This window comes from Homo sapiens, chromosome 3 (assembly GCF_000001405.40).
Source record: "Homo sapiens chromosome 3, GRCh38.p14 Primary Assembly".
Classification (NCBI taxonomy): Eukaryota; Metazoa; Chordata; class Mammalia; order Primates; family Hominidae; genus Homo; species Homo sapiens.
The window spans coordinates 99,950,726-99,973,614 of NC_000003.12; the positions used below are offsets into that span (position 1 = coordinate 99,950,726).

The 22,889-nt window shown below is 40.3% G+C and overlaps 2 protein-coding genes, 1 long non-coding RNA gene and 1 other non-coding gene across 7 annotated transcripts in view; 2 read left to right on the plus strand and 2 right to left on the minus strand.

Moving 5' to 3' along the window:
* Window positions 1–22,889, plus strand: part of CMSS1 (cms1 ribosomal small subunit homolog) — a 363,871-nt gene that overhangs the window by 132,864 nt on the left and 208,118 nt on the right. The gene's annotated exons all lie outside the window — the stretch shown is intronic.
* LOC105374010 (uncharacterized) overlaps window positions 1–22,889 on the plus strand; it is a 223,532-nt gene that overhangs the window by 132,864 nt on the left and 67,779 nt on the right. The gene's annotated exons all lie outside the window — the stretch shown is intronic.
* FILIP1L (filamin A interacting protein 1 like) overlaps window positions 1–22,889 on the minus strand; it is a 285,691-nt gene that overhangs the window by 121,915 nt on the left and 140,887 nt on the right. The gene's annotated exons all lie outside the window — the stretch shown is intronic.
* On the minus strand, window positions 13,589–13,673 carry MIR3921 (microRNA 3921). Its single transcript, NR_037486.1, has one exon. It is a non-coding gene; the product is annotated as a microRNA 3921 (primary transcript).

Sequence of the window (22,889 nt, forward strand, 5' to 3'; positions counted from 1 at the left end):
GCTGTGTGTTAAATTCTTTGTTATGTTTTCCTTTTGCTTTGTGCTCATTGAATATGGTGCTGGAGACTTAGGTAAATATTCAAAACAGAGCTATGTATTTGGCCCAAGATTAAAAGGAGAGTAAAAATAAAGAGAGAGAGAGAGAAAGAAAGAGAGAAAAACTGATCACGGAGACAGTAGTAGCTGGAGGGAGGGGAAGGCTGTCACCCAGGGATTATTGGGTTTGACTCTGCCCTTGGAATAACTCAAAACTTGTTAAGAGGGATCCAAGCCCTGCTTGGTTTGGCCCACAGTTTCACCTCATGCCCCTCCCTTTGTCACTCTTTCTGCACCTAACGTGCTGGCCTTGAGTTAAGTCACTTACACTTAACTATTTTCTCTCTCACTCATAGGCCTTTGCCTGTGCTGTGCTCACTGCTTGGGCCTCTTCCCTCAGCTGTTCACTCAGCTAACTCCCACTTAGCCTTCAGCCCTCAGCTGATACTTCCTGGAGAAGTCCTCCCTGACTTCATAACCACATTATACACTCTAGTAGCACTAAGACCTCCTTCTTCTACCAGTAATTACAGTAGCTATTTTACTTACATCTATATTATTATCTAAAGAATTTCAACCTCCCCCACTGAACCCTTAGTCCTGTGGGTACAGGACGTGGTCTGTTTGCTCACGGATACCTTGCGCATAGTATGTACTCTGTCGAATGAATGAATGATTGAATGAATGAGGTTGTCTTGAAAGTCATCAAATGATGAGATTTTGTTTTAGTCCAGTCTCCCTGGTAAAAATCGCTTGGACTTGACCTAGTAGAGCTCATGTATTTGCAACTCTGTGAGATAGTAGACTAAGAAAGATGAGAAATAGTGATGAAGCAAGTGTTTTTGTACCATCATTGCTGCCTGACCACCTCCCCCACCACATATACACAGTCCCCACTATGTTGGGCTTGGCCACCTTATGTCTCTTCCCTAATGACATCCAGTGACTAATTGACCCAATAGGTACCCTTAGATCATGGGTCAGCAAACTCTTTCAGTAAGGAGCCAAACAGTAAATATTTTAGGTTTTGCAGTTTCTGCCACAACTACTCAAACTCTATCTTTCCAGAAAGCAGCTATGGAATGATATACATGTGAATGGCTGTGGCTATGTTCCAATAAAGCTTTATTTACAAAACAGCCATATTTTGCTGACCCTTGCCTTAGATGAGGTTCTGAAGTAATAGTGAGAGAACCTATAAGTAAGTCAATCTGCAAGAATACCTGCCCCCACACCCTTAGTTGAAATTTATTTTAAAAATTACTGTTTATTCCAGTGGACCATATGTAACTGCACATGTGACCTAGGGCCAACTCTGAAGCTGTTAAAGAGAATATATAGATTTGGCACAGGCATCACCAGAGGTTGTTAAGAGTCGCACAGACCACAGTCTCCTATAGATGTGTTTTTTTTTTTCGTTGACTTAATAAGGGGAATAAGGGTCAATTTCTATTTGAGATCTGATATAGTCTCTGATCACAAAATTTGTCTCCTAAATCAAATTAGGGCAGTTTCAATTGGATTATTTTGGCTTAAGCTAGACATCTAAGGTATTTTCATAATGAGCAAATTATCACTATACAATTCAAACATTTTCCTCAGCTGTTCTTCTGCCAGTCATTATGTCTGTTCAAGTTGAGGAAACAGAATAATTTTCTGGCTGATCCTACCCCAGCCCCAAAAATTCCAACTCTGAGAACCAGTGTAAAGAATTCAGGATCTGTGTGGAGTTCATTCATGGTTGGCTTAGTCATTGTGGAATAGAAGCCACAAGGAATGGATCATTTACATTCTCAGTTTATTAAACTTCTGGTGCTAGAAAACACTATGCTTTGGTTCTTATAGGCATAGATACACGGCTTTTAAACACATACACACAGAGAGAAAGAGAGCACTGTTCAAGAAGCATGAATTTCCTCTTTCTACCCTATATTTTTAAATAATATCTATAGTTTACTAGCTTTGAGTGAAGAAGGGAAAAAACAGAAACAGTTATTATTAAATTGCTCATGAATATTCCTAAGAAGAAACACAAGAAAACGTGTCTTACAGATTTTATTTGAATTAGTTAAGGATAATTTCAATCTTTATATGTTGGATTGTTTTTCTGCATAATGAAAAAAAGAATGCTATAGAGGTATACCCCCAAAATGGGCAATGGATTGTAGATAGTTTTGGAAATAACCCAGAATATAGCCTCTCATTGATTTGGTTTTTGTCACTGAACTGAGTGGTCTCTGAAGGTGGATTTTCTCATGACTGTTCCTTTTCTCTATCAAGTGCCAGAACTTTTTTAAAAATTGTCATCTTGATAAAAATATATTTTAAAGTAATTCATACTTAGCTGCATACTTAAAGGTCAATGCTATGTATATAAACAGCATATGAAGTATTAAATAATATTATCTTTTTGTATTTCATTTTCTACTTCCTCTGTGTTGTCAACAATCATTTATTTATATTGGTTAAGTTATTGGTTAAGCTATAACCAATCGTTTCTTTGTTCCTCTGACCTGCTTCTACCTTCTACCCTATGTCTAGTTTTTGCTTCTAGACATAGGGCAAACCAATGAAATTCTAAGGAAGTAGAATTTCTTAGACTGAGAAATCAGATAACCAATGAAATTCTAAGGAAGTGAAGTAGTGCAGAGGTTCTGAGGGTGCAGTTTGAGGTACAGATGCCTTTATGTCACTTTGTCTGGACTGGAGTTGTATAATTATTATGTCCTAGGAAGGTGGCAGTTGATCTGTCTCTATTTCATGCCACGTTGGACCATTTTACCTTTGAATGGGGTCCTAAATCCTTGCATTTTTAAAGAATTCAATAAAATCCAACCAGTCTTTTCTAAGATGACTTTGTGAGGGCTGTTCCTATTGTCTTGCTAATAGGAAGATGCTATAAATATATTTGAAACACTGATTACTTGTCATTTCTACTGGAATGTGCTTTTCATAGATAATGAAACCACAGTGATGGCCTTTCCTAGAAACTCAGTCTATACTGACAGAGAACTGCCCAAACAGTCCACATAGGCAATTAGCTAGCTTATTCAGTTGTGCCCTTTCATGAGGAATCCTGTCTTCCTTGATCCACAAATAGTCTGCCCATGCTGGAGGCAGAAGGCACCAAGGCATACCTCCCACACTGACCTGCTCTGTGGTTGACCAGTGCCTCTCTTCCCACATTGTAAGTCTCTTAAAGCTCCCCTGCAGTCTTCTTAGAAGTTGCATTCCTTATTTTTGTTGCACCCTTAAGAGAGTTACCTTGTTGTACATGTGACCCTCAAGGAGGAGAAGGTGGTGGCATCTCAGTTTGTAGCAGCCTTAGGCTAAGCAAGCTGTATGAGGGCTCATCTCACTTAACACTTCAGTAACTGTGAGGTACAAATATTGGTCTTCATATTTCACAGGTGACAAACTTGAAGATCAGGAAGCTGAAGTCCATGCCCAACATCACATAGCTAAGAAATAGTAGAGCTGGGCTTTGAGCCCAGGTCATCTAATTCCACAGCCCAGGTTCTCTCTGATACCCCATCCTGCTGCCAAGAGGGAGTATAATATTCATGCTAGACACACTTTGGGCCAGTATCTCACATAATAATCCAGCCACACTGTGAGATAGGTATCATAATGGCTCCCAGTTTAACACAAACAAGGGACATTAGGAAACTTGATGACAGTCACTCATCAGTTAATGGCAAAACCAGAAAAAGAACTCAACCTCTGTTTGACTCTCAGTTTCTCTAAGCCTCAATTTCCTCATTATAAAATAAGAATAACTGGGCTGGGCACAGTGGCTCACACCTGTAATCCCAGCACTTTGGGAGGTGGAGGCAGGTGGATTACTTAAGGTCAGGAGTTCGAGACCAGCCTGACCAACATGGTGAAACCCCGTCTCTACTAAAAATACAAAAATTAGCCAAGCATGGTGGTGCCCACCTGTAATCCCAGCTACTCAGGAGGCTGAGGCAGGAGAATCGCTTGAACCCGGGAGGTGGAGATTGCAGTGAGCTGAGATCACACCACTGCACTCCAGCCTGAGCCACAGAGCAAGACTCTGTCTCAAAAAAAAAGAAAAAAAAAAGTCACAACAGACTGTTAGGATTATTGTTAGGGTAAAATGAAATAATTGAAGTGCTAAGCACCACGTCTGGCATAAAATAAGCCCACAATAAATGTTAGCAAAGGCAAAATCACTTTGAATAGAAAAATCCTGCCATTCTCCTCTCATCTGTTTTGCCTCTTACAAAGATTCCATTATATAATGGTAAATGAAAGGGTATCTTCTCTCACTTAAAACAGAAAATTAGATCAAGTGCTGGGTAATTTGTCTTTCATCACCTAAGTGATTACACAAGTGGTTTCAAGGCCCCTTTCAATTCTATGGCTGTATCATTCTAGCAATGGGGTGCTGTTTTTTCTATTAAGAACCTGCAGGTCAGAACTCAAGTCTTCTCTGTAGTAATAAAGTGGCATGCTCACACAGAGGATGGAACAGAGCTATTAGCAAAACTTAGTAAAGACTTTGATTTTCAGAGTTGTAAATGACAAGGAGTATAAACAGAGACCTACGGAATATTTGTTTCTCATGGAAAGATACCTACAACATTTTTAAAAGATGAAAACAAAGGCTAGATAATTGATTTTTTTAGCGAAGGCATTTAAGAAAATATTTGCTTTGTGCTTGGCTCTGGGGGATAATAGAAGTAATTATTAAACCGGAATTTAGTGGCCCAAGTTGAATCAGGAAGCCAGTTCCTCAGAACAGTTCCCAGCAATGCTTGAGAACTCTAACAAGATATACAGCCAAAGCCAGACACTTTTTTACTTGTGAAAGACTGTGAAAAAAATTAATCATATTTTCCTGGAGCTCCGTTAGTCTTGCCTATCAAACTCTTTGATGATAATGAAATAACTTCCTGGAGCATTGATGATGAAGATCCTTCAGTGCCAATGTATTTAATTGCTTGATTTTACATAGAGTATGGTCATGTACCTTCCTTCCACATTAGTGTATCCTGGAAGGAAATAAGATGGAATTTCGAATGGCCTGTTCTCCATTTTCACAGATTACAGATATTCCCCCTCCAGGAAACTACATCCCATCCCACCCTTGAATTAAACGCATCTTCTCTGTTCTCCCATATAACCTATGTAGACTTCTTACATAGCGCTTACCACATTGTTATGACGTATTTACTTGCCTAACTCCCGGACTTGACCTTGGAGTCCTTGGCTAGGTTGTAAGGTGCCTGCCACTTCAGAGTTATTCAGTAAGTGTTCATTGACTGACACGTTTTTAAGTTTCCAGCTTCAAATGGGTCCTGTCAATAATAGATTTATTCATTCCTTATTGCCTCTGTCTCATTGCTAAGCCATGATTCCAAAGCTTTAACACTCTTTTCATGCCCTTTCTTCCACTTATTCCTTAACCACTCTCACCCTTCACAAACACCTTCACCTTCCTCACCTTTCTTCTTTGTTGCTTTCCTTCCTCTGCCCCCAACACCTCTTCACATCTTTACACATGTTCTCCTTTTCCTGTCTTTGGAAGTATTGCTCTTGGTTTCCGATTCTGTCCCCTCCATCTAAGCTTTGTTTGTTTTTGTGAGATGGACTTTTGCTCTGTCACCTAGGCTGGAGTGCCCTGGCATGATCTTGGCTCACTGCAAACTACGCCTCCTAGGTTCAAGTGATTCTTGTGTCTCAGCCTCCCTAGTAGCTGGGATTACAGGCACCCACTACCACACTCGGCTAATGATGAGATTATAGATGGGGTTTCACCACGTTGGCCAGGCTAGTCTCGAATTCCTGACCTCAGATGATCCACCTGCCTCGGCCTTCCAAAGTGCTGGGATTAAAGGCGTGAGCCCCCGCGCCCAGCCACCTCCATGTAAGCTTTGGATCATAAGCATCGCCTCTTAAATCTTGCCCATCAAATACCCCCTTCCCTTCTGTAGCTGTAGTTTCTTTCTCACTATTGGTTCTTTTTCCACAACTTTATAACACGCCCAGTGGTCCCACTTTCTAATAAAATCTCCCTTTCCCTGCTCCCCACTCTGCCAGTTTCTCTTCCATCTTCACATTGCCTGAATTCATTGTACTCATCTCCTAATTTCCCACCCCCGACTTACAGTCCAGCTTCTGCCCTCACCAATGGCTTCCTAATTTCCAAATCCAGGAACCTCTTCTTAAAGAGGTCTTCCTACCTATTTCTGTCCAGGGCTCTAGCTGGATTTAATAATGCTGTCTTTTTCCCAGCTGCCCAAGCTAGAAATCTTGATGCTATTTTGTACCTCCTCTTAACCCTGCTTAACATACTGTAAGAATAAAAATACTTGTGTTTATGTTTGTACATTTATTTTTTATTTGATATACAGCAAAAAAAATACTGTATGAAGTAGAGGAGTGACAAAACATTCATCAGGGTGATCTGATTTGGCAGTGAAAGGGCCAAGCCGGTGATAAAGCATGGAAAGTAGTAACAGCAGCGAATGAACCACATGCATTGTATGCATAGCAGCTATTCTTAAGAATTCTGATTTCCACATATTCTAAGCATTAACAGAAAGTATTTAGTTGAAGAAAGCCAACCCAACCAAGACTTGAAGCCAGAATGTTGTTTTTTTCACAAATAGTTGTGATATTTTTGAAATGCTAACACAAAATTATGTATCTACACATATGTGTGTATATATATATAGAGAGAGAGACATGAAAGATCCTCATTAGGTTTCTGTGTGGTAATATCATCAGACATCTTTTAAGGAACAAAACAGTGCTCTTAATCACTTCTTTAATACCGTAAACAGTTGGAATTTTCACCCTCTGGGGCCTCCTATGAACCTCTGCAGAGTAGTTCAGCCGTCAGACTGGAAATTAAGCTAATCAGTAGTTACTTGGCACTTCTCCTTTTCTCTTTTCTTTCTTTCTTTTTTTTTTTTTTTTTTTTTTTTTTTTGGTGTGTGTGTTTGTTTGGAACTTGTTTAATGAAAACACAGGTTCCATTCAGTGATATAAAGCAGCACATCACAAAGCTTTTTCACACATAGCTTGTTTTTAGTTCTTAGGCCTGGATATTTGTATGTTCTTAATATAGGCCTAATAACAGCTGAAATGTCATTTTTTAGATTCAACAAAACCTGTGTTTGGAACCTGTTTAATGAAAACACAGGTTTCTTTCAGTGATATGAAACAGCACATCACAAAGCATTTTCCAAGATAGCCTCTTTTTAGTTATTAGGGCTGGATATTCATATGTTTATATAAAGGCTCAATGGGCTCAGAAATGTCACTTCTTTTTTTTTTTCAATTTAAATTAATTTAATTTTAATTTCCAGGATACATGTGCAGGATGTGCAGGTTTGTTACATAGGTGAATCTGTGCCGTGGTGGTTTGCTGCAGCTATCAACCCATCACCTAGGTATTAAGCCCTGCATGCATTATTATTATTATTATTATTATTATTATTATTATTATTATTATTATTTGAAGGTAACATGGAGGTTTAGTTTGAATTTAAGAGAACAGTAACAGAAAGGGAAAATAACCAGCCACCCAGGGTCTATTTTTAACTGCCACGGCTTGAGCAGAGCCATGAAGAGAGAGAACTAGGGCCTGTTAATGCCAGCCATGAAAAAGCTGCTACAGTGGGCAGTGTGTGACTGAGCCCAGCAGGAAAGTGCTTACATAGCACTCAGGCCCACCTTTCAAGGACCATGCAAAGAAAGGAGACATTTGAGAGCCAACAAGAATTATAACATGTATGTGCCACAGAAGGGTAGGAGGAATTCCACGGGGAAATGGTCACATGGGTCTACGGTTAGTAGAATTAGACAACATTTCAGAATACACTTCCAGTGAAGCTTGGTTTGAATCTTGGTACTCTTGCAGGAGAAGAAGAGAGCTGGGGGCAGAGCAGGCAGTGTGAGGCATAGAGGCATGAGCCAGCAGGGCTCCTTCAGGGAACAGCAGTGTGGATCATGGGGCTAGAGCTTGAGGTTTTGGAGAGGCTGGTGATGTAGTGGAACAGGCAGAGAAGGGACCAGAGGAGATGTCAAAATGAACTGGAGATAGCTGTACTAGTTTGGCATCTTAAAGAATTTTGGCTTTACACTTAGGCAGTGGGAAGCTATTAGTTGTCTCTAAGCAAGTTTTCTTGTCTCTAAAATGGAAATAATGAGCTCTATACCACTGGATTCTTGTGTGTAAAAACAGCAAATTATCATGCCTTGGTAACTATTTGTTCCTTCATTTTTTTAATCCGATAAATTATTGAAATAGGTTATAAATGTAACAGAATTTGAAAACACATCAGGATATGATGGTAATTTAAAAAAAATTCATTGTGTAAATGTTCAAGTAGTTTCCATTTTTCCCAAACTTTATTTTTATTTTATTTTTTGAGGCAGAGTCTCACTCTCTTGCCCAGGTTAGAGTATAGTGGCACAACTTCAGCTCACTGCAACCTCCAACTCCCAGGTTACAAGTGATTCTCATGCCTCAGCCTCCTGAGTAGTTGGGATTACAGATGTGCAGCACTGTGCCCAGCTAATTTTTGTATTTTTAGCAGAGGCGGGGTTTCGCCATGCTGGCCAGGCTGGTCTCGAACTCCTGTCCTCTTGTGATCTGCCTGACTCAGACTCCCAAAGTGCTGGGATTACAGGCGTGAGCCACCGGGCCTGGCCATTTTCCTCAAACTTTAAATATTTTATTTTCTATATAAATATTAAAAAGAAGAGGAATTAAGTCATTTAATTTGTGTGTAGCTCTAATTCATTACATGGGTTGTATCAATTTTCTGAGCCTTAGTTTTCCACGTGTATAATTTCTTTAGCAGTCTGATAAATTGAATTTAGTAATCTGTAGACCAAAATGCTATAGCCTTTTAGAGATGGAACAAAATTAGTTGTAATAAAGATGCTTATTTTCTAACAGACTCCAATAAATAGAGCAATAATGAGTCTCCACTGGATTATCACATTAGCTCCCAGAGGACATGGGATAATTGTATAGAAAACAATTAAAGGAAGGGATTGTACTAATGTAATTTTTTTAGAATTACCCAACAGTAAGATTATGAGCATGGTTCTTGACTGAGCCCCCCAGCCCACTCAGTGTAGTAGGACTAAAACTCAGACCACTCCCATTGTACAAAGGAGATGCATTCAATGCATTCAGATGGCTAACATCTGTCACTTGCAGAAAAAAAGATGGGAGTTAGGCCTAGCTGTTCCTTTCACCTTTCCTCCTTTCCTGCCTCCCTCCTTCATTTATAAATTGTCTAAAGTGTGTATAGCATTATGCCTCTCAATGTTATAACGATTGGCTCCATCCCGACCTGGGTTAAGTTTAACATTGAAAAATTAGTGGTAGCTCACAACCTGCCAAGTACCGGAGAGAAGTAGTTCTTTTCTCTCCAAGATGTTTGACATCTTGGAAACGGCAGTTTCTGTGTGTTTTTCTAGTTAGAGTAGCCACCTTTACACACCTAGTTTTTGTTATTCCTCTCAACAACACTATGAGGTAGGTTTTAGGATCCCCATTTTACAGATGAGGAAAACGAGGGCTCCAAAAAGTTAAGTGGCAGAACCTGGATGTCAGATCAAACACTGTAACTCCCAGCCCAGCCCTCTTTACCACAGCTGCTCCTCAATTAGGCAGCCCAAGTGTTTGTCCCTACCCACAGGGGAAAAATCAAAGATTTTGAACACTAGTAGAAGCAACATTCTGATTAGGAATATAAAAGATTACAGCGTGAAGTGAAATAATCTCCCTCCTCACCTCCTGTAGGTCTTGCCCAAATCATTCTTTAGCATCTTCTTCTATCCCTCCCTCCTACAGTCTTTTTACCTGCTTCCTAATCATTAGATTGACATCTCAAGGTAGGGGAGAAGTAGGGGAGTCCAGAGTCCTGGTACTGGGATTGAGGGGAGGAACACTTTCACTTTCAGGGCTATTGTTCTTGCTTTCCTTTGTATGAAGTAGTATTTTCTGTTATTGATTTTATGTTTACTTACTGTCTGAATTGAATACTGTTAATTTATGTGCCCTTGGCTCTAAAGCTCTGGTTATATATTTTTGCGTTGTTAATATTTTTAATTGGTGTTTCTAAAGTAAATGTACTCTGTGTGTTTGGCAGACCAACAAAGTGAAATGTAAAAAGAGTCTATTTTTAAAAGTAACCATATAAGGTGAAAAGTCCCTTTTTGTGTGGGTGTGTGCATGCGTGTGTGCAGATCGCAGGTTTTATCAGGAACATATTCGTTAATATTTATTGTCACAGTTTACAGTGTGCCCCTTGAGTCCCTCTGGATTATGCACAGCCCAAATGACGTAACCTTGGAAAATGCAATAAATCTAAAGTTGGAAACCACTTCTAATAGGAAGTTTCTTGAAAGTTGTAAAGTTAAATTGCCTCTTCCAGGATGAGGGAGGTGGTGCGGAGAATGCCCGAGGGGATCCGGACTTGCCTCTTGCAGGTGTTATCCCCTGTGTTGGAATGCTGGGTTTGTGGGTTGGATTATTTTGTTTTGTTTTGTTTGAAATCCTCTGAGTATTTTTTTAACCCCAATACTCCATGGGGTGGCAAGCTTATATATATACCTTAAAATGTAACCTTTGATCATCCCTTTATGTATCTACAATGACTCTTATGCTATATATGCATACCCAGGAGCCCAGAAGTATAATTTAATTCATCAGAATCTTAACTTTGCAAGGAGACAGGCATTATGTAGTTCATTTTGCCAGCCCATGTGTGAACCCATCCAGTGACGTGCAGCTGAATACTGGTCAAAGTATCCCATGTTTTACATTTTAGGACATTCTTTGCCATATTATTTTGGGGAGCTGGAAAGGCTCCTGGGAACCGATACCTTTGGCCCTGGTGCCTCTTTTTGAAGCTACTTAGAATATTCTTTTATAAGTGATTTAGTCTAAAAAAAATTTTTTAAGAATATTCTTCTCCTTCCAAGACATTTGTAGATATTTAAAGATAATGACACCGATCTTGCCTTTCCCCCTTTCTAGATGTCAAACATCTTTAGGTCTGCCAACCTATTTTCTTATGTCATAGTTCGTTTGTACATTTGTAGAGCACAAACCGGGTATGCATTAGACACAGCTAGAAACTAGGGAAGCACTGAGGGACCAAGTAGTCTGTGATTCCTGCCCTTCAGGAACTTCTGATCTATTAATAGCAGAGTGGCAAGGGCTATTATAGGGGCCCCAAATTTAGCCTTGCTGATTGGGGGTTAGGGATGTCGGGGAAATTTTTCTGCAGGACACACCACACAAGCAAAGTCCTGAAGAGTACTATGAGTTACCCAAGGAAGCGAGATGAATGAGGAGAGGAAGGTATTCCAGGAAGGACTGGCTTGCTGGAAAGGCTGAAGGTGAGGGGATGCGTGGTGAGTTCAGGGAAGTGAGGGTGGTTCATTGTGGTTGAGGCACTAAGTGGGAGGTGAGGAGTGGGGAAAACAGATGCAGAAATGCTAGGGCAGAAACCAGGGCTAACAGTGGGAAGATGAGGTCGCATGTGATGGGAGAGTGGAAGATGATGGGCAGTCCTCATCAGGAAGGATATTTATTGTTCTCTTGGGAACATAATTACTATGGGCAACATAAAAGGTTCTGCATGAGGTCATTTAGGTTTTGGAATATTTTGTATATTATCTTTTGTTGTTAGAGAAAGGATATATTCAGTCATTAGGGTTAGACAGATATAGCTCTTTCAGTAGCATGACCATTTCTCCAGCAACAATATGTTTGGAGAAAGAAGAGGAAGAGATAATATTGTTTTAACATTCTTATGACTGTGAGAAACTTTGGTGGCTTTTATACACAGGATTATAATTAATAATAACAACAACAACAGCAACAAACACATATAGCACTGTAGGCCTGGTCCTGTTACAGTAAGAAATAGAATGTCCACATTAACTCTATGAGGTAGGTATTATCCTCAGATACAGTTAGTTTAAATAACTTCCCAAAAGTTAGAAAGCTAAGTGGGAGAGCTAGGATTTGGCTGCAGCCCCTAAGAACAAATTGGGAAAGATTTAAGTCATAGATGAAGTACTCTGAGGGTGCCTTAAGACAATGGCTGTAGCCTGCTGTTTATGGTCACAACTACATACTCACTGGAATGTTCATGGCCGAGATAAATAAAGCAAGTATTCATCCATATTTCACATGTTACTCACAGGCATTGCTGCATGGAAGAGATTGCTCTCTTGATGGATTTTAGGAGCTAGCCTGGGTTTTACCAGCCGTTGAGGTTGCTTGCAGCCTTAGTTTCTCTCCCTGCCTTCTGCCACTGTCAAAGAGGGTTTAGCCTGCCTACAGAGGGTAAAATAATTAGGATAACAGTGCACCAGAGAAAGTTCGAAATGCTCTTACTCTTAGGGAAACCTTTCCAAATCAAGCCACTTAATGCTAGCAACCATGAAGGTATAGTTGCCCCAGAATAGTGTGTGGTTTTCCACTAGCAGTGATTTTACCCTAGTGTTGACTGATCCCATGTGGTGGATATATGCAGGTAAGTGCTTCTTGGGAACAGAAGGGATGAAGATAAATAAGAGAAAGTTTGAAGTCATGATCCGTGGAGCCTGTGCTATATAGGAAAAGAAGTAAAAATAAGAGTGGGCTGTTATATAAGGATATAGCACAGAAGTAAGGGGCTGACGGTCTCTGTGGGTCCAAAAAGAAGTGAAGTGGGAGCAACTGCTTGAAAGTATTAGAAGGATAAGAAAGAATGTTGATTGAGCGGGATATTTACATTTTGTGTCAGAGAAGACTTTTAGCACTCCTCTTTGCCTTGATGGTGTTACCTGAATATGCATCCATTTTTTTTTTCTTTTTTTTTAGACGGAGTGTCGCTCTGTAGCCCAGGCTGGAGTGCAGTGGCGTGATCTCGGTTCACTGCAGCCTCGCCTCCAGGGTCCTGGTTCGAGCAATTCTCCTGTCTCAGCTTCCTGAGTAGCTGGGGATTACAGGCACACGCCACCATGCTCAGCTAATTTTTGTATTTTTAGCAGAGACAGGGTTTCACCATGTTGGCCAAGCTGGTCTTGAACTCCTCATCTTGTGATCTGCCTGCCTCAGCCTCCCAAAGTCCTGGGATTACAGGTGTGAGCCACCGCGCCCAGCCACATCCATTTGTTAATGACTTAATTAAAATGTGTCATAACGAAAATGATCAGTAGGCCAGGCAGGAGCTCCCAGGTACAACCAAGGTGAAGCTGATTTCACATGACTTTATAATCTTCAAGCCCATGTTTGAATATTTGAACATAATAATTGTTATGTGATTAAATAAAAACAGAGGGCATAGACTCGTTCTGTGGTGCAGATTTACCCTATAGACTTATATGCTCAGTAGGAAGTACATTGAGTTTTTATAAGCAGTGATAATTCTATCTTCCAAATCCATTACGCTTCAGTTAGATTTAATTTTTATTTATCAATATTTATCTTGATTAATGATCTTACCTCTAGCTAGGTTACAGGTTCCATGAGAATAGGGACAGTGTCTGTGTCTAGTTTCTCCCTAGCCCAGTACAAGGCATATGGTACTCAGAGACTTAGGGATTTCTAAGTCTCTTGAGTACCATATGCCTTGTACTGGGCTAGGTGATGTTTAGGATGGGTCCTTAAACAGGATCAAGGCCAAACCACTTACATTATAGTGAGGCAGTCAAGGTCCTGACAGGTAAGTGATCTGCTCAGGGCTCAGAGCTAGGTAGTGAGAAAGCCTGTGCCAAAACCCAAATCTCATTCCTCACTCTGTTCTTTGCACCATATCACTCTGACATTGAATCAGGTTCTTGTAGTGATCTTCTCTGTGTGTCTAGGGCCAAAAGGAAATGTGTTTCCTAAGCTAGAGCTTCCCAACCTGTTTCTCAATATGGCTCACAGAGAAGCTGGGAATATTTGTCTAGAACAGTATGGTAAACAAAGGAGGCTTTGGAGGGCAGCCGAAGAAAGAGGTCCCCTAGGAGACTAATGCCCAGAAACCTCCAGGCTACCCAAGGGGGATCATACCTTCACACACCTCTCATCTACTATGCTCCCTGTAACTGTGGAAAAACTCTTTCCTAAGTTAATATTAGATCACTTGAACATCAGTCCCATAGTGCACAGATACAATAGTTTCCCAGGCTTTAAGACTCTGTATAAAAATTGTTCTTCAAACCAAAAAGAAACATGATCCTTTTCATTGTATTTCTTGAAGTACCTGATATACTTAGATACTGCTGTATCTGTAAATAAATTATGATACCTTATAAAGTTTTAAAGGAAATTTACAAGTGTTATTTTCTAGTAATTACCTTGAAAGATTACATTGGTCCAGGAAAATGTTTTCTGAAGCAATGTTAATCCTACTAGCCAAGCATATCACTTAGTCCCCACTGTGAGATGAGGGATATGTGCTTAAATTGTGAAACAAATATATGAGTCAGGTATTTTTCCTTTGAGTCCAAGTGGTTTATGACTTTCTTTCCTGTGTTCTTTGTATATGTGGGAGTTTTATAATTTTTTATCAAGAATGAAAGGTTGGCCTGTGTTCTTACTGGTGCAGGCTGTCACATTTCTCTCTGTTGCCCAGTCAGGTGCTATGGCATGTGCTGCTTCTGGCGTAGTGTACTCTGTGGATGTACCAGCATGTTCTTCAAGGTCATGACTGATTTTCCAGACCTTTGGAATTGAGATAAATGTTAAATTTGTAGCTATCTCTGAATTTCTTCCAGATACTTTTCTTCATTTGTTTGTTTGTAGGGTAAACATACCTGATAGCAGCAATTTAAGCATACCCTTAGAATGACCATGTATGGCCAGTGCACCTGAATGTGTGTTCCAAGGTAGGGAATCCAGGAATGGCCAACTCGGAGATTCATTCCTTACTATGATAAATATCTGAGCCCCCTGCTCATCCTGTGGAACATGGGCTTATTGGGGATTAAGGCCCTGAGTTTTAGGTTAAATGAAGGTTACCAGATGGAGGTCATTAGGGGGAGGGTGTTAAATGAAAATGCTTTATAAACTGCATGCTGTTTGCAAGCAGTTGCAGTTTTCCTGCCCAGCCCGCAGCCACTGGCCATGCAGTCATGTTGTCCAGCCTGCCGCCACTGGACCATTTCTGTACATAAGGCAGTTCTCCTGTCCCGCCTGCCACCAGTTCTCCACTCTCTCCCCATATGTAAGCCCCTAGTAAACCCCATGTCTCATTTGCTGCCTCTGGGTCTTTTCTTCAGCCTCTTGAACCTAGTGCCTTCCCTGCTGAGGTTAATAGGGGTACAGCACAACAGTGTTGTAACACAGAAAGTGATATTTACAGGGATATCTCTCTCACAATATCTCTTAGGAAAGGTAAATAAAATGTTCACAACTTGTAGGTGAGTAATTCCTTAGATAAGTTGTTTCTTAACTTGGGAGGAGTTTGGGAAGGAACCTAAGCAGGCTGCAGAGGCTGGGCATGGGAGCTTGTCATGGCTGGAAGTTGAAATGGTCAACTCCAGGCAGATCTCCTGGGGCAAAGCAGCCTCCACCACCAGTAGCCCTTCCTTTCTGTTTCTTTCATAGCCCCACTGCTCCATCTGAAGCCTGAACCCTTCCAGAAAATTGATGGATAGATTTTTTTTTTCGGCTATATATAGTTTTAGAGGTTAGAACTAGATATAATTCAGTCTAGAAGATTTCTCCTTCCCCAGAAATGATTGTTTTTGTGCAGAGCCCCGTCAAAATAGTACGGAGACTTAGACTGAGTTCACTCATCACTAACAATTAACTTTATAAACATTCAACAAGTAGGACAACTATTATTACTGTTACTCAGAACCCTTCGCTCTGTATATACAGTTTGATTTAAGATGCCACATTTACATGGCATTTTCAACCTTCAAACTCTAGCAGATTTTAAAACTAGGTGGATGAAAATAGAATCATTCTAATAAATGTAGTGTGTCAGATTTGAAAAATCATTTGGTGAGCAGGATCTCTGTAAAGTTATATGGGCCACGTATACAAGACGTAACTGAAGAAAATTAATTCAACAGAGCATGCCGTACTTGAACGACTTAGAGATTTACTCGAACTGAACTAACTCAAGCTGGCAGAACTCCGAGCAGCCTGGATTGTAAAGTCTGGGTGAAAATAGATGGAGTATGCCTGACTGAACCTCTGTACTGCCCCACATGCTATACAGGTGGGGGATTGGATGGCTGTTAGGTGATCATTGCATTCTCTTTTGGATCCCTATTGAGAAGAAATGATAAGAGAGGGAAAGGATATGGGGCAAGAACAGTCTGAAAAAGAAAGGATAAAGTTCTCAGACTCTCTTCACACTCTAAGAAGAACTTTCTGAAAAGCTTGGATTAGGTCTGGCAATGGATATAATAAGCAAAGGACTCTTGGAATGTGTTCTTGGCTCTTAGCCCCACCTCTGACTTTGAGCAAATCAGCTGATTTCTCTGCCTGTAAAATAATAGTCCCTCTGATATTAATACTTACCTCATGAGGTTATTTAGAGGATAGTGTTGGTAATAATGCCTTGTGTTTACATCATTCCTTTCACAGAGAGCTCAAAGCACTTTACATGCATTGAGAGAGAAGCTTCTCGTGAAGAGTAAATAGAAGTGTTCACTTTTTGGAAATGAACTTAGGCCATAAGAGCCTGAATTTAATGCATTGCAGGAAGAAATATGGTACATAGTGATCCAGTGGGTCAACTGAATTTTTTGTTCCACTAAGAGTCCCCTCCTGGCTCCTTGTTTTGTGAATTGAGGAATATGGTGAGTCCCTACACCTGGATGGGAAATCCCACATATGCAATTGGAATGGTCTCTCACGACACATGCAGAGATTGAAGAACAGTCTGGACATTTTTTGATAACGTTCTTTGGGCCTTGGTAGTAGCTGAAAGACACCTGAGAAATCTTAGCTCAGAGCTACAGAATGACACTAATGGATCCCAGAAATAGAAATGTAGATGTGGAGTGTTTTATCTGTTTATTTCACCTCAATTCAACCAATACTCCTTGAGTGCCTTTTATATACATGATTTTGAGTGATGTGGAGAATGAAAGAGACACAACATGCTCAGGAAAGTTAACCTGGTATTAGCAAGGAGAAGGAGTAGGATTTACAAATAGATAAGTGCAACGGTATGTGGGAGTGTCAGAAAAGCATCACAGTACTTCAGCACATCTACTTGGGCAATCTCAAACATGTATTACTCATGTACCAAGCAGTATGCTGTTCACAGAGAGATACAATCTCTGCCTTAGGGATCCTTGGGGAAAACATGTACAAAGAGATAGTTTTAGCACATTCTAGTAAAGGCAGTGATCAAGGGCACCTAGCCTTACGTGGCAATTTAGGGAAGGTACCTTGGAGGATGAGACTTCTCCTAAAGTCTTAAGAATTGAAAAGAACATGGGAAGGGAATTCCAGGCTGGGAGAGTAGTATGTTCATACGCCCTCAGTGTTTAACCTTCTTTGAACAAAAAAATGGCAAACTACAGAAAGTTTGGTCTTATTGTAGCCTAAATTGTACTTAGGGGTACGAGTGAGAAACAGGGATTAAGATAAAGGACCTGTTTTGCTGTCTTGTTTACTGTTGAATAGTAGTATGAAGTAGGTCCTGAAAAACTATGTTTTTGGGGGAAAAAAAAAAAAAAGACTGAATGATATGTTGGGTTTAAGTCCTTGCAGGCAGGCTATCCAGGTAAATAAACATGGAAGGTGATGGGAGGTAATCTGGGCTGGAAATACAGATTTGGAAGTCACCCCATATCAGTGGTGTTTAAAATCAAGAGCAAATGAAATTGCACAAGGAGAATATATAGAATGAACAAATTACCATGGGTGAAGCCTTGAGTAATACAGACATTTAAGAAGCAAACAAAAGACAAGGAACCCATGAGGGAGACTGGAAAGGAAAAAACAGAGAAATAAGAAAAAATGAGAGGAGAGAATTGATACATTTTCCTCAGGTGTGGCATTATGGAGTTCACTGGTGTCTCATCAGAGAAGTTTCAGTCCAGTGGCCAGGGCAGAATGACATTGTGTCTTGTTTTAAAGTAAATGGGTAGGGTAAGAAAGTTGAGAAGGGTTAGCACAAACCTCTCTTTCAAGTCACTTGCCTTAGAAGAGAAGGAAGGGTATGGTTTCTGGGGTGCAACCCAGGTTCAAGAAGCAAAAAGAAAAAAAAATTCATTTGATAAAAGATTTAAATGGGTTTCTGGGCTTAGAGGAAAGAGTAAATAGGCACTGAGAATTTAAAGATTTAGGAAGTAAAGGGGATAATTAATGGAGCTCGGTCCTGGGAGTGCTGAAAAGGGGGGCCATGTGTGGAGGGCAGGGCAGGATCTTGACCTGGAGTAAGAATACCTCATCCTGTCATTGAAAGAAAGTGCACAAGGACAGGTCCAGGCATATCTAAGAAGGGGAGGGGAACAATATTGGGATAATGTATGTATAATTCTCTTATTGAAGTAGAAAATGATGTCATCTGCAGAGAAGGATGTAGCCTTGTTTGGGCTCTTGAGCAATATGACAGTTTGGTAACATTGCTTAGTAAAATAAGAGCAAGCTAAGCAAGAATGAGTAGGAGGTTGAGCCACGTTGATGGCCTATTTGAGATTGAGGACTGCAGATTTATATAGTTGCGTCAATCTGAAAGCTGACTTTTTTTTCCAGCTGAGCTCAACAGATTGGTCACAGAAATACAGAAGTCTACGTTTGAATTGATTCTAAAGATATTAGTGAAAGAATGGTTGAAGTAATGAGCCGTGCTATCCCAACTGGGTAAAGCAGTGAGGCCAGGAAAGAGGTCAAGGAACTATGGTTTTCCAGAGATTGGAGAGCAGAGGTAGTAAGGGCAAAGGCACGGGGAGCCTGGAAGGATCAGAGATTGTGGTCATCTTCACATAATGGATAGGAAGCAGCCCCACTAGATAATTAGTTGCAGGGTTTGACCTTGGAAATCTGTGACCATGGAGATGAAGAAGGTGAGGAATTTATAGTTTATTGGATGGCTTGTCTAGATGGATACTGAAGTCACTCATTGTCACAAAGGGTATGTTAAAGATTGTTGCCAAGTGCCCTAGTCATGAATAAGTGTTATGGAGGGACCAGGATATTAGCAGGGGGACATCAATGAGAAAAGATAATTGGATAATATGAAATTCAACAAATGAGGCTGTTACATCAGAGGCATTAGGGAGTAATGGTTTAGAAGCATTATAAAAAGGAATAATCAGTTAGGCATTGGCTTAAAATTTGGATAAGCCATATAAACTTGTTGATATTTGAGTATTTTGACATATAAAAATAGTAATTTCATATGGTTCAACCTCATACTTTGCGTGCATTAAATCATTCATTCTCACAACTACCTTCTGAAATGGGTTATCATTTTGCAGCTGAGAAAGTGAAGGCATAGAAATAATAAGTAATTTGCCCAAAGTCATCTGATAAGTTTTGGAGCTCAGTTTCAGACCCAGGCAGTCTGGCTTTAGAGGCTGCAATCACTCTGAATAGGGAATGCCCACCTTACCCTCACTGCCCTTCAGGCCTTCTGGTGTGTGAGGTGGATGAGACCAAACTCCTCTTAAGCATGTAATAACTGAGATAAATGCTGTAAAGGAAATGAATGTGGTTCACTAGTCAGTTTTGAAGTCTCATTCTCACATACTCTGTGCTTCCCCACCCTATTTGTGTTCGCTTTCACTCCCAAACTACTTCTACCTAATTGCAGAACACTTTCTCTACATTTTGCCTAACTGAAACCTAGCATATCCCTGCTTTCCTTGTAGTTTACTAGTAGATAAGTAGGAAAATAGTTCTAGACCTTGCATGTACAGGGTCACAAGAGTTTAAAAAGAGCAAGGAAAACCATTCAGTAAATGACAAGACATTCTGTATATGGGATATGAACTGGGCTGGGAGAGAGGTAGAGTACTTAAGAGAGCGTGCTACGATAGACCTCAAAGGACTTTTTACCATTCTAAAGACCTTAAACATTATACTATCTGCTACAGCCAGCCACAGAAAGATTTTAAGAAGCAAAATGTTGTGAGGATATTATAGATAAATGTTGGTGTGGATGCAATTAAAGGGAAAAAGACTAGAGGTGGGAAGATGGGTTAGGAAGCTGTTGCAGTCATTCATGTGAAGGAATAGGGCTTGGCAGTGCTCCTACCTGTGTGATTGAAGAGGAGGGGCTGTATTCACAAGATATTTAACAGCAAGGATTGGCAGGTTTTGGTGTCTCTTAAGAGAATATGGGGGCTGGGCGTGGTGGCTCACGCCTGTAATCCCAGCACTTTGGGAGGCCAAGGCGGGCGGATCACTAGGTCAGGAGATCGAGACCATCCTGGCTAACATGGTGAAACCCCGTCTCTACTAAAAATACAAAAAATAATTAGCCGGGCCTGGTGGCAGATGCCTGTAGTCCCAGCTACTCGGGAGGCTGAGGCAGGAGAATGGCGTGAACCCGGGGCGCGGAGCTTGCAGTGAGCCAAGATCGTGCCACTGCCCACCAGCCTGGGTGACAGAGCCCATCTCAAAAAAAAAAAAAAAAGAGAATATGGGATGCTGGAACCCATAAGTGAGATCACCACACAAGGAAAGAAGTCCATTTGAAAGGAGAGATGAGGAGTCCTCTTTTCTACATGTTGAATATGAGATGTCTGTAGAATCTGGGTAGAAATACTGGTATGGGACTCAGGAATGAGGTCTCACAGGAGATGCAGATGAAAATATGTTAGTATTGCTTAACCTCTCTAAGCCTCACTTCCAAAATTCCCACTTCCTCCATCAGCTTTTGTCTTGTAGCCACTCCCTGATCTAAGTTGGTACCAGAGTATAGGGACAGAGACCTGAGTGAACTGTGGCTTTAGACCTGCTTTCATCAGGACCTCACACTGTGGACTCACAGGAGTCTGTATGGTAGGGTCTAGGATACACACGGAACCTCAAACTTCTGAAAGGAGTCCTCTCCCTGCAACACCATTCCCATAAAAGAGAACAGAGTCGGTTCCTAGCTTGAATGAATGAATGAATAATGACGTTGGGGCCTCTGGATATAGATCATTCTAAAAAGCACCTATATACTCTTTTGGTAGGATTTGGTACAGGTAGGATTATGTAAACCTGGTTGCTGACCTAGATATATGTAGTCTTGTTGGGAAACATGGATTAGTCATAAAATTAGCACACTGACATGGAGTATAGTCAGCAAATGGATAAGATGGTTAAGTATCTATAATATAGTTTGACTAAGCAGTTAAGTGAATCAGTACGAATATTATTGAGAGGAACCTGGTTCTGACAGATATAAGGTAGTGATATTGCAGACATATAAAAATATAGACTGATATGCAAAGTGTGGGGAAAGATGTCATTCAAACCAGTCTTTTTATGGGCTTAATAAATTTGATAAGGGAATAGGAAGAAAGCTAGTCATCTCTTTCCCTTAGGTTGAAATAAACTTGACCCAATAGAGTACCCTAGTTTTGTTCATTTGCCGAATTGACTTAGATGCCAGGGATTTGCATGTGGAAAACTAATGCCATGGCAGGATTACTAGACTGTAAATTCATTAAGAAGTCTGATGATATCATAAACCGTGAGAAGCCTCTGTCTTGCAGCAGCATCGGAAACGTCCCCGTCCCCATTTGAGTAAGTGCTGGTAATCCATTTTATTTCTCTCCATTAGTTATTATAATAATAACAGATTGGTGACACGGCCTCATTTTCTGCCTCTAGTGCTGTCTGCTGCTGGGCACAGCTGCTCCCAGTCATTCTTTCCAGAGTAAATAACGGTTCATGTTTCCATGGGCTGTCGCGAGAGCTTTCTGTGCTTATGAAATGAGCCCATGTCACCACCCTGTTGGGAAAGATTGAAGGCATGGGCAAAGCCAAGGAACTGCATGGGAAAGCCAGAGCTTTACCCCTACCCTAAGATATGTTTTTTGCTCTTGAAGACATTTAGATTAACTGGGTGTTAATGATGTTAACTTCCATAAGTGTGAGGCAAGAAAATTCCATCACTTGGCATCTGTCTGATGCAGGCCTTTGGCTTTGGAACTTTTTCTTTCATGTTAGATGTAAATAATGAACTCCTTTGTTGTGAGAGGGTTTGTTACAAGGAAGTAAACACATCAGCAAAGAGCATCTTTTGATCTTCACACCTTTGGCAATAAAAGCTGAGAGCAGAAATAGGCCAGAGAATTTGGGACAGAAACCACTAAAAGCTCCCCTTTTATCTGTTCACAAAATTAGGTGCAGAACTATAGGAACAATGGATGGAATGACAATTATTAAAAAAGATGAAGGGCAAAATGAGGCCACCTGAATAATAAAAGCCAAGGTTTAGATTTTATGATCTGCTTTAAAACTCAGTGAATTCTCTGAAAAACTAGGAGCATTATATAGAAACATCATAAACAAAATGAATAAAAATTTTTTTTCTCTTCTTGTGATCTCATTAGTGGATGTTAACAAATTTTAAATATTCATTTGAGAATACATGTTATAAGAACACTGATTTTCTGTGTGTGTATGCAAAATTGCAAAAACTGGTATGTTTTAATGCCTTAATTATGTGACTCTTGTCTCATGATCATTAATTCAATCCTCTTCTAAACATCAAACCACATATTCATATAAAATAGAAATCTAAAATATGCAGTTATAAATACATATGAAAATTCCTCTGTCTTTTTTTTCCTTATTTTGAAAGTTTAAGCTTTATTGCCAGGTTTTATTGGTAGAAAACTAATGTTGCTTTATTTCATGAAAGTTATCAACATCCTCCCTTCAGATCTTATAGAATTTATACTCA